Source organism: Homo sapiens, chromosome 13 (assembly GCF_000001405.40).
Source record: "Homo sapiens chromosome 13, GRCh38.p14 Primary Assembly".
In the NCBI taxonomy this organism is placed as follows: Eukaryota; Metazoa; Chordata; class Mammalia; order Primates; family Hominidae; genus Homo; species Homo sapiens.
In genome coordinates, this window is record NC_000013.11 from 34,009,210 (window position 1) to 34,026,702 (window position 17,493).

Here is a 17,493-nt window from a genome sequence, read left to right on the forward strand (position 1 = left end):
ACCACCATGCCCGGCTAATTTATTTTTTATTTATTTTAGAGATGGAGTTTTATCATGTTGCCCAGGCTGGTCTCAAACCCCTGGGCTTAAGTGATCCTCCTGCCTTGACATCCCAAAGTGCTAGGATTACAGGAGTGACCCACCATGCAAGCAAGAGTGTTTTTTTTTGGTATGGTTAATTAGATTACTCATGATGGAGGTCTTACCCTCAGATTAGGGATTTTTCCCTTTTGTATATCCTTACATACTATTTTAATTTTTTTCTCTTTATCATATGCAGCTATGACCTTAAGATTAAATAAACTAAAGAAAAAATAAGGCTTTCTTGTTATTGGCATATCACAGTGAGAAAACTGAAGTTCTAAGTGGCTCACCAGAAAAACGAGCCATGTGATTAGAGGGTTAGAACTTTCAGCCCCACACTCAACTTCTGGGAAGAGGAGAAGGGCTAGAGATTGAGTTTAATCACCAATGGCCAATGATTTAATCATAATGCCGGCATAATGAAGCCTCCATAGAAACTCTTAAACAATGACATCTGGGGAACTTCCAAATTGGTGAATACATTCAGGTGCTTGCCTGGAGAGGGTATGGGAGCTCCACACCTCACCCCATACCTTGTCCTATCCATCTGTTCCATTGGCTGTTTCTGAGTTGTATCTTTTAAAATAAAATTATAAGTGTAAGTATAGTGTTATTCTAAGTCATTCTAGTGAGTTATCTAACCCAAGAGGGGGTCCCGGAAACACCTAAATATGTAGCTGGCTGCTCAGAAGTGTGAATAGTCTAGGGTTCCCATTTGCAGCTAGCATCTGGAGTGGGGCAGTCTGTGAGACTGATGCCTTAACCTTTAGGATCATTTCTATCTCTGTGCAGTGAATGTCAGAATTAAATTGAATTATGGGATAGCCGTTTGGTGTTGGAGAATTGGTTGTTGTTGAAAAGACATAAAAATCATTATCAAAAATAATGAAGAGTCTTCTAGAGGAAAAAATGTTAAATTGGGAAGTGTGAAAAATTGTGCGAAATTAATATTGGCATGCAAAAATTTAAAAATTAGTAGTCAAAGTAGTTACCATCAAAAAAGCTACATCAGAATGTCACAACCAAAATATTATCTACCCATATTTTCAGTCATTACACAGTTTTCATCAAGTGTCATTGGTGTGCACAGAGCGTAGCATTATTCTAATTTTTGAGAGACACACTCTCAGAAACTGATTTCTTTGGTGAAAGAAACACCCTCCCACGTAAAAGATGATTGATATCTACTTTAAAAAATGTCAGGACTCCTTAGCATATAAGAGCTGAAGAGAGTAAAATATAAAGAAGAAACTGAATCATTAGAACTAGTATAATTTAATTTTTAATTTAAATCCTATAATGTTCTGCAAATGTCTGGAATAAAAAGAAAGGACATATGCATATGCATGTATCCTTGTATGCACATACGTATACAAATATACACAGCAAGGCATCACTCTGGAAGGACTCATAAGAGACTGGATTAGGGAGGGAGTGAACGGTGGAAGTAGAATTCGGACGAGTAAAAGAGACATGTTTCCCCCTTTTGTATCTCCTTATGTGCTATTTGAATATTTTTCACTTTATCATACGCAGGTGTTACTTAAGATTATATAAAATAAAGATAAAGCCCTATCATTACTGGTATTTCGCAAATGAGGAAACAAGTTCCAAGTAGTTTAGTACTTATTTATGAAAGCAAGTGAAATAAATCTTCTTTCAGAGCTCCTTCTAGACTTAGCTTTCAGGCATCTAAATCATAAATCACTATTATTAAAGATCTGTATCAGCAGGGGAAAAACAAATTTTTAGATAATGAACAGTAACACCGAAAGCAGTTATCCATGAGATTCTGATGTCTTCACAGGACATTAGGAGAGCTTAGCACTCATAAGGACATTCTCATATTCATAGGTACAGGGGGCAGAGAAATTCTAGGGAGAAAAGGGCGGGTCTCTGACAAAACTCAGCTCTCAATCTGAAAAGCCTGAAACCCATGGCCCAAAGTGACAACTTCTCTCCCCGTTTTCCCACTCGAATGTTGTCTTTTCCTAAACTACCCATGGCCCACCCCACCCCCCATCCTGTGCCCATAAAGACCCCAGAACCAGCTGGCAGAGGGGAGAAGCAGCTGTACATCAGGGACTATGGTTGGACATTGGAGAGAAGCGGGCTTGACTTCAGAGGGACAGCTTGATGGCATAACTTCGGAGAAGAATCAGCCGAATATGGCCGGACTTCAGAGGAAGATTACCTACACACCTCATCCTCTTTTCAGCTTCCCTCCCCGTTAAGGGCCACTTTCACTGGCAATAAAATCCCCTGCATTCACCAGCTTCAATTTGATCATGTGACCTCGTTTTTCCCTGATGCTGGACAAAAGCTTGGGAGCCACGAGTGCAGAGGGCTGTCACACTGGCCCTTTGCCTTCACTGGCAGAGGTCAGCCGCCTCATGTGAAAAGGCAAAGAGCCCAATGAGCTGTTAACACTTAAGCTGCCTGCGGGCAGCAGAGCTAAAAGAGCACTGTAACATGCCCTCTGGGACTTTGTGAATTGCAGGCACCCTGCCTGGACACTGCTGCAGTGCATGCATGAAGTTTGCTCCTGTCAGTGTCCAAAAGAGGTTGCTCCAGCTTCTGCGCCTGCTTACCTAAGTGTTCTCTCCTGTGAGGGGTGGAATGTAGTGGGTCTGAGTCAGTGGAGTTTGATCCCGCCGGCGCTGAAATGGCCAGCGTTCATGCACTCCAGTTCCCACCTTGTTTGCTTACATACTCCCTCCCACATGGATTGAGGGCAGCAGCTGAGTAAATGAAGCACCCCTGTCGTGAGTCCCGGGAAGGGGTCAGGAAAATATCCTTCTTCAATATGAGAAAGGTGGATGCATCATCAAATATACACACAGAATATTTACTGTTCTTGCTAAATAGCCCGACTTTTGATCCAGTGCATGGAGTCCCGAAGAGATAGATCTGGTGGTTTTCACAGAGCACCTTGTAAGTTTGTCACCTCTGGGGTCTCATCTGGCTTTTGTATGAACAAGTGACAGGTGTACACACTACGCTTGGACTTGTTTTTCCTCTTTCTGTAAGATGAAAAAGAGTGCCACATGCCAGAGAGAGGGACGTTTTTTTCTCTACATTAGGCTAAAAATATTTATGTTTAATATTTCCATTTTTTCAGTGATAAAAACTGAGTAAAAGCAAAAGTAGCTATCTTAATTAAGCTCTGAGGCAGGTGAACCAAAACGTATGTTGGTGGCACATTTCCATCCCTAGAGTATTTCCTGACAGATATCAACCTATAAAAGGACTGATTTGCAATGGAAACACCAACACAGCTTTCAGAATAGCAGTATGAATGACACCATAAAATTACAGCTACATGACATGTTTTCTTCTCATAAGATTTAAAGGATTCAAATAAAAAACAACAACCCAATTTCGTTTCTTCACTTGGAGCACTGAAGAAATCCCCACCAGGGCTTGAAATTCAGAAACCAAATGAGCTGCCACTACCATAAGTGATTAAAGAACAACAACAATAACCAAATCACAGCCACAGGGATCTGCTTGCATAGCCAAAAGTGAGCAAAGCGAGAAATAACCTGGCTTAAGCCATTTGCCCAAGTCATCGTATCGCTTTTTTCCCAGTTGCCTGCCTTGCCGCTGTTCCCCTTTGTAGCCATAGCTGTTCACTGCTTCATCACCCCCTACCCCAAATCTCCCTTCCAAAAATGCCCCAGTGCACTCCCAATTGTACAAGCCTTTGGCAAATTCATTTCCGAGGAAAAAAGTCTGCTCTCTCAATAAGGGCTTTGCAAATTGTGGAGAGACAAACAAATGTACGAGACACTAACTGATTTTACATCTTAAATCCCGAAAGCTCCTTTCTTATTCTACAGGCTGTCTCATCTATTGTTCATCACCAGTGCAGTCTTTACTGCATAGCCCAATACCTTGGTCCGTTGTGGGGACTCGGCTGCACCAGGACGAACCTTCCCATTCTACAGAAGCTGCCAACCATGACCCCGGAGGGAATGGCACTTGGCCAGATGAAATCCACACATTACTGTTTGTTATCTTAGGATATTTTACATTCTTGTTAATATTTGGGTTTGGGTGAATGTTACATGGAACAGAAAAGTGAGAGAGAAGAAATAGGTTGTAAAATGTGAAAAGGGAGTAAAATAAAGAATGCTTTATTTCTAAAATGGAGAAGTTGAGAAACGGGTAAAATAATATGAGGAGGGCACTGAAGAATCATTTTTTATGGCTCTATTTTCTATTAAATCTTTCTTTTGATGAAAAGAAATAAACATAAATTGTTCCTGCTTCCATGTCTGTTTGCTGCAACCCCTCCTCACGCCTACAGAGCCCATGCCTGGAAACAGGGAGGCCAGAGAATGGGCTGCTGTTGATACCCAGAGTAGAGAGGAGGTGGTGTGGCCCAAATTACACGGGGCAGTGAGGGCAGAGTGAAGAGACAGACTTCATAGATATTTAGGAGGTACGATGCCAGGAATTTCTAATGCCATATGAGAGGGGACTTGAATCTGGAATAGAGTCAAAAGAGTCAAAGGTAATGTCTTAATTTGTGGCTTCAGCAGAGACTTGTTGGATTGGCAGGGCCATTCACTGCCATGCTGAGGGACAGGATTCAGAGGAAGGAGAAGGCTGACCCTGGAGGCAAACGAGACGACTGCAGTTTAGGAAATAATTCATTTGTGGAATGGAAGGACAAACTGATCAAGCTGTTAAATGTCAGTGCAAGATGATCACATTTTCTTTAGCAAAGAGGAGAGAGGTGACTGCCTCATCCATGTTCTCTTCCTTAGGGTATCTCCTTCAAAACACTAAGGTCCCCATAAAACATCTGACCTTGGATTTCACAAGGCAAGATCATAAGCCTTCCGCCCCTTGAGACTGTAAACACACACATCCATGATGAACTTAGAAGCCTCTCACGGGGTATACCTAGACAATCACACACAACAGGTGTGTCTTCTTGTCTCTCATGGAGATAAGAGAATTGTAATTGTTCTATCTTCTACTTTTACAAATAAATTTGTGTGAAATTCTATACAGACACTGTAGATACTTTCCTGCTACCTTTACATGCACATATGCCTGGGGTAATAGTTACTTGATCTTAAATTGTTCTCTCTCTCTTCTGTATTGGTACGGAGGGGTCTTCCATTGGCAAAATTGTTTTATTTCCTCAAGAGGTAGCTATGGAATATGTAAACAGAGATGTCCAGAAAACGTTTAATGTATGGACTTGATGTCATTGACTTGTAAAATGTCAGACACTATTCCTAGCGTGGAAAGAGAAGGAAAATGGGGTTAAATCCCTGAGGACAGAGACAGGCCACAATAAAGTGCCCACAGAGGAGATAGAGAAGGGTCCATAGAGGAGGAGAAAGGAAGAAGGCCGGGTGCCTCTTGTTGATTTGATTGTGCCTCCCTGGGTCTAAACACACAACAGTGTTTGCTGAATGAATAAATGAAAACTTGCCATTATCTCCCAGTCTCCCAGGACCTGAAGGTGGGAGAACTCTGACCTGAAGGACAGGAACAGTTCCCCGAGGCTTGGCATGCCTGTTGCTTCATATCTCAAAGCTGTCTCTGCTCCCCATGAACACACACCTTCCTTCCCTGTGTTCTCCTTCAGTGGTATATGAGAGATGTCACTGTTCCACATTCTTACCAATATATGGCTTTGTCAGACACTTACATCTTTGCCCATTTATTTATTATTTGGATTGAGTGATGATTTACACTTCCAGAGGATCAAAGGCTGTAAAGCAAAGATTCCCTCTCATCTTCAATTTTTCTCTCTAGAGACCAAGAGTGTTACCAATTTCTTTTTATCTTTTGATAGTCCATGCATATCCAAGAAAATATGTACATGTGTATGTGCATGTATGAATGTATATGTACACACACCCACCTTATTTTATATAAATAGCAGCATGCCATTCTGCACCTTGGTTATTCTATTCAATGATAAAGTTTGGAGATTGCTTGATATTAGTATATAATAAACTTTGTAAGTTTAAAAAAATCTGTCTTAAAATAAATTTAAACTTAACAGAACTTTGCAAGAATGGTATGAAGAAATCCCTTGTAATCTCTAGCAAATTCACTAGTTTTTAACATTTTGTCCCATTTGCTTTAGCATTCTGTTTCTCAAATATTTTTATTATCATTTTTGGGCCACTCAAGAGTAGGTGGCATACATATGACTCTTTACCTTTTAATACTTCACTATGTGTTTCCTAAGAACAAAGCTATTTGTTTGTATAACCAGTGTTCAGCTGTCAAATTCAGAAAATGTGATGTCGATACATTTTTATCTATTGTAGAGTCAATACTCCAATTTAGCAACTGTCTCCAAATGTACTTTATAACATATTTTTCTGTACAAGATTCTGTCTAAGATGCAAAATTGCATTTAGTTCGTGATGTATTTTTGTTCTCCTTTATTCTGAAACAAAAATCTCAGCCTTTGTTTATTTTTAATGACATTGATGCTTCTGGAGAATATATGCCAGATGTTTTATAGAATGTCTCTCGATTTGGGTTTGTATGATAGTTCCTGTTTTTTGCTGTAATGTGACATAAGTGATATTGCACCCATCTTGGGATTCATGTCCAAGGACAGGATGTGTTTGCTCCTCACTGGTGATGTTAACTTTGATCACTTGATTAAGTTACTGTCCCATTGTTCCACTGTACAATTAGTAACTCTTCTTTTGTAATAAGTAATTCATGGGGAGATGCTTGAGATTGTGTTTTCCACCTAGATTTAGCATCCACTGATGATTCCTGTCTCAATCAGTTTTAACAATGGTATTTGCAAGATACTGAGGTTTCTACTTCAATAACACCTTCAATATTTATTAGTCAAAATTATGCTACAAAAAAGAGCTTTTCCTTCTCTTTCTCTCATTCATTCATTATCAGTGTCATCTCATGGGCTCTTATTTTATTCAACGAATTGCAATTTGCCACTATTGATATCTATTTTGTTCCTCAAATTTCTCCAGATTTGGCAAGCAGCAGCCCTTTCCATCTTTCCTCTAGGTCTCTTTCTGTAAAGGAGTTTTTTTTGTGTGTGTACAAGAAAAGTCTCCCATAAACAGGGTACCCACATCCTGAAATGTTTCTGTGTTCCTTGCAACGGATTCTTTTCCGAGATAACTGACCCCTGCTGACCTCTGATCCGTTTCTGTCACTCCAGTTTTGCCTTTTTCTAGAGTTTCATATAAGTGAAATTGTAGGATATGTAGTCTTGGCATTAACTCAACTTGATGAGGATTTTGTTTTGAAAAATTTATTGCTGGATTTGCTAACAGTTTGTTTAGAATTTTCACATACAGATTAATGAGTGAGATTGTATCATAACTTTCCTTTCTCATACTGTCTTTGCCAGGTTTTGAGATCAAGGTTAATATAATCTCATAAAATGACTTACAAAGAATTCCTTTTTCATAATTCCCTAAAAGAATATGTAAAATATTAGAATAATTCATTTCTTAAAAGGTGGGAAGGACTCACAGCTTGATGCTTTCCTTGTGGGAAGGTTTTAAACTACTGACTTAATTTATCTAATTATTATAAGATTCTTCAGGCTTTTTACTTCTTTTTGAGCCTGATTTGGTAAGTTATTCCTGCTAGGCCTCTGATCTTTTAATTGAATTTTAAAATTTAATGATACATAGTTGTTCACAGTATTCTTTCTGAATTTTATAATCTCTGCTACCTCTGTAATTAAGTCCTCTTTTTAAAAATTCCCAATATGGCTTATTTATACCAATTTTTTTATACATTTTTGTTATAAATTTATAATTTTTACATTAAAAATATTACTACATATATTAATACATATATTAGTCAATATATTAACACATCTATTAGTCAATACCTAACCACATATATTAGTCAATATATTAATACATATATTGAATGTATTAGTCCTCTTTATTGTATGTCCGTTTTCCCTCTGGAACCATATGGGGAGAATACGTTTTCCTTGAAGGGTCTTTCTTTCTGGGAGGTAGGTTTTTTCCTGGCCTATTTTTTTCACAGTAGTATAGTCAGCTTCGTGGCTCCCGACCCGGTGCACTTCTCACCTCCAGCTTCTCCACTCTGAGTGGCACCAGGGCTTGGTTTCACCCCAGCCCTCCTGAAATGGCTCATCTCCCAAGCTCTCCTCTTGCCCTGAGGACAGAAACAGATTCAAGTTAGGAGGTTATTACTCACTCATTTGCTTTCAGCTTCTTTTTCTTTTTTTTTCCTCCTTGTAGGTGTTTTATATGCTGTCTTGCAAACCCATCAATAAATTTTAAAATGTGCTTCTTATAATGTATCCAGAGGATATTATAATAGAAAGGCATTTAAAAATATCAAGGCTCTGTGCTGCTTAAAAGCTGAAGTCCATTTAATTAAAGACCAATTTAAACTAAATAAAAGTTAGAAAAGAAAAAATGATTCTATACAGTGGTGCTGTTTAAAGGAACTACAGCGTGAGTTATACATATAGCTTGAAATTTTCTGATTACCACACTAAAAAGAAGAAAAAGAAATATATGAAATTAATTGTAATAATACATATATATTTTAACATGTAAGTACATCATCTTTCCTTTAATTTACAAAATATATTTCTATGGTTCTTTAAAAGATATATGTCATTTAATCCAATATATCCAAAATATTACCGTTTCAGTGTAATATAATTGTTAATAAAATATTTTACATTGTTTTGCACTACATCTTTAGAATCTAATGTGTATTTTTATACTTGTTGTCCAGCTCAGATTGGACAACATTGTTTTAAGTGTTCAATGTCACATGAGGTTAGTGCTAGTGTATTACTTAGTACAGTTCATAGCATCTTTACCAAGTTTTTCTTACATTTATCTAGCTATTCTGTGTCTCTTAATCTCTCAGGTCTTTTCCTGATATCATCATTTTCTTTTGCTTTTAGAAAATGATTCTCATTTTCTCTATATGTAAAGAGAGGAAAACAGTTCAGGAGCTTCTTTGGCATAACAATTTTAATTCATATCACACCTTGATATTGTAAAAATATTTCTAATTGTTCCAACAACTCTGCCTTCTTAAAGTCTATTTCAAGCAAGAAATGAGAGAGAAGCTCAACACTTTGAAAGTTTAAAAGCTTGGATTTGAAAATAGTTCACCATTTTATGTGCTCAGAATTTGTATTCATTTTGTTAAGGTGTCCAAAATAGTTCAGAATATTTGTAAGTGTTGTATTTTAGGAGATGAAAGATAATTCAGTTTTTCCATGCTAATGGAGATAAAACTTTGAAATATCTTGATGTCATAGTCATAGAAAGATCCTTCAAGGAAGATGTATTCTCCCTATATGGATCTAGATGGAAAACAGACATAAAATAAAGAGGACTAATACATTCAATATATGTATAAATATATTGACTAATATATGTAGTAATGTATTGACTAATAGATGTGTTAATATATTGACTAATATATGTAGTAATATATGTAGTAATATTTTTAATGTAAAAATTATAAATTTATGACAAAAATTTATAAAAAGATAACTTTACAGTTGTGATCATACCAAATATATCTAATCATTTATTTCACTATATGTTTAAAAAGTAAATGACCTATCACATATAGTACTTACTATGGTACTAGGCTCTGTTTAGGCACAGGGGATAGAAGTAGGAATGATTCATTCCTGTCATTGTGGAACATCTAGAGGTAGTTTCCTATAGATATAGACATTCATTTCAGTTTTGCAAGAAGTATAATTAATGCTATCTATATATCTATCTGTGTATTTATCTATGGATACTCCCAGGTGGAATATAAACCCAAAATAGGTCAGGCACAATTTTCCCTCTGTAGATTAGGAATTTGGAAAATTTTTATAGACAGGCTGTATTTAATCCAGGTATTGAATAATGTTCAGTCATGAAACACACACTTTTTGTCAATGACTCCAGAATAAGTTTAACCTATGGAGCTGAGAAGCATTCCTAAGTGTAACCATTTAATTAACAGCTAAATTTTGAAAATATTCACCTATTTGCTTCAGTTTCTTTTTTAGGTATAGCCATGATCATCCAGAAAATGAAGTAAAACATTTCAAAATAATTAAAGATTTTACCTTTCTTGATAAAAAATTGGTAGTTTTTTTAAAAAAGCATTTTTTCTAAGTAGGGAAGATATTCATTTTAATAATGTATTGACTAAAAATAAGTGATTCAAGGTTTATGGAATAACAATGTGAAATGTTTTTCCTAGTGTACAAGGGCTGTTTCCTAGAATGTTTTTGCTTCTTAGTTCTTATACTTCCTTTCTCAATATTTACAGACAGTCCTTTCTTTTCTCCCTCCCTCCCTTTCTTCCTTCCCAATGAGAAACCAAATTAAGTCCTTTAGTATGAAGATTGCAGATCCTTAAGTGAATCGGGTGTGTCTCAATGATAGTTCCCTTGCCTTCTTATTAATCTTGAGTAAAAGCAAGTCATAAACATTTTTACCAGAATGGAAAATGCATGAGAATAGAGTAAGTTGATTGTCTTTGACTTTGAGTAATTTTTAACAGCCAAGGAAAGTGGCTTGTATTCCAATTAACACCCTTCAGAAACTGCCACCAATGAATGAAAATGCCCGGGATACACTATGCAAAATAATATTTTTGTCAGAGGAAATTGAAAGCTACCAGAAAACACAGAGCAGAGAGAACAGCCGGGAGACTATGACATCAAGATATTTCAAATGTGGAATTTATGACTGGAGAGTCGTTTCAAAGGCATCTCAACCCTTTGATCTTAACTGTGGCAGGATCAAAGTCCCATTCGGCCAGTGAGTAAGAGCACTGACATGGGTCTGTTGATGCGGCTCTTTGGAGCAGGAAGAAGAGCACCGAAAAATATTCCTTCTGTGTCCACTGTGCTCAAAAAGAAAGATTGTGTATCATTTCAACTAAAATCACAGAAATTTACTAGTGGTTTGCTACTGGATTTTAAATGCCCTTTCATATACATATTTACAATAGAAACTATAATAATATGCAATCATTTAGCACCCAATATTCCTAAAAGTGGCCACTTGAAGGAATAATTGCATAGCCATGGTACAATTCTACTAAAGCCAAAATACATAATTATCCCTTGATCCCCTTCCCAAAATATGTTATGTGCCTCATAGACTGAACTGAGAAAAAGCATTGTGCCCAGTGCGAACTCAGGCAGCCTTGCCTGGAAGGTGCTACTCTCTCTCCCCAACGCAGAGCAGGAAGTGAGAAGGAACTCAGCTGGACAGGATAAAAATGCTAGGCAGCTTTCCAGCTCCTTCAGAGCAAGTCTTGACAGTGGACTTCATTAGTTTTATTAGAGCATCATCAATTCCCTAAATGTCACATGGAGCTCTATTCAAATACCAGCAAAGAAATATAATCCAAAGACAAACATACCTTGTTTGGTGATTATTCAGTGTTTATAAATATTCACATCCTGGCTCTTCTCCAGGGAAAATATGAAAAGCGTGGAGAGCTGATGATTCTTGATCCTGATCAGTCATATTGGGAACTCGATTTCCTTATGTTAAAAAGAAGGGAGATGTTATAGTTAGGATTAAAGTAGCCCCTTCTAACAAAGTTCCAGCAGGTTAAGTTCTGAGACTCTAAGAAGTTAGTACCTCAGGGATCAAAGTGATTCACCAAACCAAGCCTGGGACCATTGTGGCCTTTCTTGCCATTCCTATAACCGAACTTCATTTGGTTTGTCTTTTCCATGCCCTTACCACTGCTAATCTCTTACTACTGTTAATCTCCTGATAGAACTCATATAATATTCTTGTAAGTGATCTCATTGACTTCATTGAAACTCCCCAATTTATCCTATACACCTGCATTTTCCAAGGTGTCTACTTGGAACCTTAATCCCATGAGATATTTGGTGAGAGAAAAATCCAAAGATTTCTTCATGAAATGGGCTTGGGAAAAGTTACATGTTCTTTTTCTTGGAGAAACAAAACAAAGATAGGGAAGTTAAAGATTTTTGAGAAGTCTTAAAAATTGTTAAGTATGCTTAACCTATCATTTCCAAAGTTTATTTGACCAGAAATAATTTTAAGTCATGACTTTTAATATACAAAGTTCCCTAGAAATTTTCTTTGCAAAACATTGCTATATGTTTATGTTAAAGTGATCATTCTAAGATGCAAATTGAATATGTCCCAGTTGTGCTTAAATATTGCATTGACCATCGATTCCCCATAAGATCAAGTTCAAAACTACCCAGCAGGGATACAAGGCCCTTCATGCTTTTGTCCCCAGTTACACGTTAAGTAACTTCCAAACTTTTCCTGACACATACTTCACCTGTTTTCAAAGCATACTCTGCTCTCCAAGACCTCCTATGTGATACTCTTTGTCTGTATTCCCCTTCCTACCTTATCCAGACAGAAAATCCCTACTCAGCCTTTAGATACAGCTCAAGCATTAGCTCCTCTTGGAAGATTTCCCTGGCAAGCATAACTAGCCAACCCACAATCTGCAAGATTTCTGTGCTTTCCTCCAGGTTTGTGGAACACCCTGTGTCTAAGTGTCTACTTGTACAGGCTGTTTGTACTGCAGTTTTTGTGCATGTCCTCTCCACTGTGCTTCAAGCTTCTTGATAGTCTGGCTGTAGTATATTTGTATTAGTATCTTTTTTAAGTGGGTTAAAGGAAGACTGTAAGTAGAATGTGTTAAAGGAACAAATAAGTACATGAGGAAAATTGTCTAACAGAAGTATAATAGTAAATGGAGAGAGTTAGGTTGAATTATCTTGAATTCAATTAAAAGAGATTAGATTGACCTAATATAAAAAAGATAGATTGAATTCTTTTAAGTTCTCTTTGAAAGGGCAGAAGAAATATGTAGAAACTACTTTAGGCTATTGGATTTATTTCCTGCTTTTAAGACTCTAATTCATTTTCTTGTGAGCTGATTCTATCCAGGCAAGTTTATGAAAATTCTATGTGAGTTGAAGGAAACCTCACACATATTACAGTCCACTTATTCAAACATATAAACAATTACAGCACACTTTGAGGAGGGCTATGATTGGCTGTCTGCTGTGAAGTGTGATCAGCATGGTGATCAAGAAAAGCATCCAATAGGCAGTGATGTTTATGCATAACCACAAGGTGGATTTAATTCTCCATGCCTAGAGACAAATACAAAAGCTGAAGAGGCATTTGCATCTTAGGAGAATGCTGGAAAGCAATGTTGGAAATAAGATCAATGTTTCTATTAGCACAGGATCCTCAAGTAAAGTCAAAGCCAAAGCTAAAATGTAGCTCTGCTACAGCATAATGGAGTGTCTTTGCTCTATACCCTTGTTTATCTTCCTGCACTAAAGTGATAAATGAATTTGTAACTGCCTTTGAGATTTCGTAACTCTCAGAAGCAATGCTTTTCTTTTTAAAAATGATTTCAAAGGAAAAATAAAATATTCCAAAAACCATGTAGGCAATATTTAGAATGCTTGGGCAAACAAATGCGTCTCTTCATGGTTAATTATAAAAGAAAAAAGAAAGCTTGCCTTCTATCTGTTTTCCCTCCAATATTGTTTTTTTTTCTTCAGCAAACTAGATATAGTTCAATAAAGAAATGACCTTAAAAAAATTTATCGTTGATGACAGTGTTTGGTAGGATGTGATTTAAGCACTCCTGATTGGTGATGTATGTTATTTTAGACTTAAAGATGATATTACTGAGCCACTGTTAGTCAGTCAAGCACTTTAAATCCTTTCCTGCATGGAAAAGGGTTATAGCAAACCATCTGCTCAGTTGTTTTCGTGAAAAGTTAGACACTTATTTTTCTCTTTAACAAGAATGTTTTGAGCTCTGCTACATGGTAGGTATTGCATCAGAGATACATTGATGAATGAAGATAATTCTTGATATTTACTGGAGAAAGAAAACAAATAAGTAGGGTTTTGCAATACAATTGTATAATTTTATTCTAGGAGTGAAAATAGAGGATGCTATGTGAGTATGTAGCAGTGCATCTAATCCAGATTTGAGAGACACTGGGATGGGAAACATTTATCAAGGCAGCACACACCAGTAGACTAACTGACCAGCTGAGTTAGATGTCTGGTTTGTGGCTAGGTCACATTAGTCTCTCTTTATGGATTTGTTCAGATCCTTGGTCTTGTCAGAATGATGCTAACTTTGCCTCTTATTCCAATGGCAATGTGCAATTATAGTTACATCTATTAATGAAGCTAGAAAGCTTTTCTTATTTCATGTCTATGAAAATCTACATTTTAACACCTTTTGTGAGAAACTCTAGTTTACACATATTTGAAAGTCTTTTCATTGAATAAGACACTCAACAAAAATGTAAATGAAAGACCAGCACATTTTCATTGTGATGACAGCAATGCAAATTGATGGAAGAAATGATATCTACCTCATTCTTGTTCTCTCTCTCTCTCTCTCTCTCTCTTTCTTTTCTTCTGGCTTTCTTTCTCTTTTGTTGAGGACACTGAGGCATACAGGAAGGCAGTTACGTGTTCTGGTTTATACCTTTAGATAATAAGACCATTACAGATGAGCTTTGTTAGTCCTACTGAATAACAGTAATAAAATTTACCATTATAATCACTATTATAGTATGACTAGTTATAAATATATTAGGTTTAAACATGACAATGCCAATTGGTATGTAAAAAATGTGGAATATTGGAAATTTTAAATGATTCATATTGATATTATTAGTATATTGTATGTTTAAAAACCATAAATGTATCATAATTCATAAATAATAAACAGTATATGATTTATTACTGAGAATAGATTTGTGGAAGTACTGTACCTCAGAAGCAGGTAATAAGGGGGTGTGTTTCCTGTAGAGAATTTTAAAACAAGAAAAAACAAACTGACTAAAAATCAGCTTCCTTTTTATTATCACCATGGGTTGGCAATTCTAAATAATGTCAGATATAAGATGTTCCCCCTCCAAATAGCTTTTGTTGGTTTAAGTTCCAGACAATTGCTATAGTTACTTGTGGATACATACATGCGTGTACACACAGACACACACACACACACACAGTTCAAATTAGCCCATTTTATTTTTTAGCCTTAAATAAACCTTGTGTTCTATGTAGAAGTTAATTGGGAGAACTTCTGTTTTACAGAGAGTCTTTACCTTGCAGCCTCAGTGACACATGTTAACCTACAATGGCTCTGAATCCTTTACGCTTGCTTTGGTACAACCCCTGTATTTATTAGTGTCCCTGCATTTAAACCATGTGTTCTACATAAACAATAGTAGGATGGGGATTATGAAGATGCAAATAAATAAACAGAACTTGAATTACTTCAATTCTGGCCCTTTTTCTAAAGCGATGAATCAAACAATACCATAGAAACAGAACAGAAACAAATTGTGATACATCTGTATACTGGGATACTGTTGGAATGATACACAAAACAACCTGGCTTAATTTCCAAATAATTATGCTAAAAGAAGCCATCAGAAAAGAGCAGATGCTGCATATATTCTATGTAAATGAAATTCTAGAGAATGTAAATTAAACTATAGTTACAGAACACAGGTCAGTGGTTGCCTGGGATTAGGAGTGGGCGGAAAGTGGTGGGAGGCGGGGATTATAAAGAGGAATAAGGGAACTTTGGAGGCGACGGATTACGGGTGTGTGTATATACATATCAAACTTATCAAATTGTATACTTTAAATGTGTGCAGTCTACTCTATGTTGATTGTACTTCAAGAAATCTGTAAAAATGCTAAGTATGCCACTGTTAAACAAATATAATAAAGCACTGATATATTTATAAACAATTTTCCACCAATCAGGAATTTTAACTTACTGTTTCTCAATCTTGTCTTCTCTATCCAAATGAATCAATGGCTACACTAGATTGGATTTCAGAACTCATCTGGTCCAAGAGAAAGACATTGTCCATTGGAGTGGCTGTGGGGCAGGAGGAATTGTTTTGAGTGGGGATGGCAGTTGATAGATGGTAAACTGCAACTAATTACTTGAAATTTTTTTTCAAACCAGTACAAAATGATTTGAAGCCTCAGGCCAATTTTCAGTAAAATATCAAAGGAAAAGGCCAGTGATGAAAAGATACATAATTTATAATAATCTAGCTGGACACTTACAGAAAATTCTAGGTCAATAGGGGCTTTTTTTGCTTTCTTGATCATTTATAGCCATCATTGCAGCACTTGAGATATTGATGAAGGATATGAATTAATGTGGGATGAAAGAATGCATACAGGTACAAGTTAAGACTCCCCCAGGTCCTTTTATATTTCTTTCTTTTTGGTGGGGCGGGGGTGCAGGGTCTCACTCCTGTTGCCCAGGCTGGGGTGCAGTGGTGCAATCATGGCTCACTGCAGCCTTGATTTCCCAGGCTCAGGTGATTCTCCCACCTTAGCCTCCCAAGTAGCTGGAATTACAGTTGTGCCCTATCACACCCAGCTGATTCTTTGTATTTTTAGTAGAGATGGGGTTTCACCATGTTGTCCAGGCTGGTCTCCAAGTCCTAGGCTCAAGGCATCCACCCAGCTTGGCTTTCCAAAGTGTTGGGATTATAAGCATGAGCCACCATGCCCAGCCCCCATGTCCTTTCTAATCGTCAGAGATCAGATGACTCAGAGATATACAAAGGAGAACAAAAGCAAATAAATCACCAGGCTATAGAAGCAGAAATTCCTGTGGCCTTCCATTTTTGTCTCAAGAATTTTTCTTTATTGCCCCAAATGCTCCAGCCAAAGGAAACAGGAAGTTCTGATACTATTAGGGGACCTCCTTATATACAAATCAGCAGTGCACAAACTGACAGAACATTTCTCATCTATGGGGCAGCAGGAGAGGAAGGGCTTCTGTGACACTTGGTTCAAGTGTTTCTGCTTCCCCACACTGCCCCTACCCAGGTCTAGAAAGGATCCATACACCTTGCGGCCAGCATTTCACTCTCCTGTTAGGTGATGGCTCACCTGACCTGTCTCAAACCAGGCTGGGGTTAACTCAACTCACACCTCTCACAGTCCTCATCACTAGGGATATAATTGCCTACTCTCATTGCATCAGTTGGCATTCCATAACAATCAAAAACAATGAACAGAATTAAACTCAGTTGGTTAAAATGTTGTCTATATCCCATTGAGATTTATAAATGATCTCTACTTATTGGGCCCAAGTCTTAGTGTATTAGGGTGACTGAGTGACAGCATGGTGAGCCTAATTCCATTGAAAGAAGGTTTTTAATGCAGTTCCCCACTAAACAAGAGGCACAGCATGTACCAGACACAGCCACATGGGAAAAACACCATGGTGCTCAGGATGCAGAAAATAGGAGCAAGGGGAAGGTATAGGCCACAGTTTTCAGTTTCTGAAAGAAATGCAAGTTGTGGCAGGGCAAACAGACTAGGA

At 37.2% G+C, this 17,493-nt stretch overlaps 1 long non-coding RNA gene across 1 annotated transcript, besides 1 other annotated feature; it reads right to left on the minus strand.

Annotated features, from left to right (window-relative positions):
• Positions 1–7,988: 7,988 nt before the first annotated feature.
• Positions 7,989–9,789, minus strand: LOC107984589 (uncharacterized). The gene is made up of 2 exons (XR_001749817.2): positions 9,707–9,789; positions 7,989–8,247 (listed from the first exon to the last, which is right to left on the minus strand). It is a non-coding gene; the product is annotated as an uncharacterized LOC107984589 (long non-coding RNA).
• Positions 10,728–11,927: an enhancer, noted in NCBI's record as "CDK7 strongly-dependent group 2 enhancer chr13:34594074-34595273 (GRCh37/hg19 assembly coordinates)". NCBI's record gives its function as "activates an origin of replication core promoter dependent on BRD2, BRD4, P300/CBP, MED14 and CDK7 cofactors, with strong dependence on CDK7, by STARR-seq in HCT116 cells {active_cell/tissue: HCT116}" and the evidence as "EXISTENCE:reporter gene assay evidence [ECO:0000049][PMID:35650434]".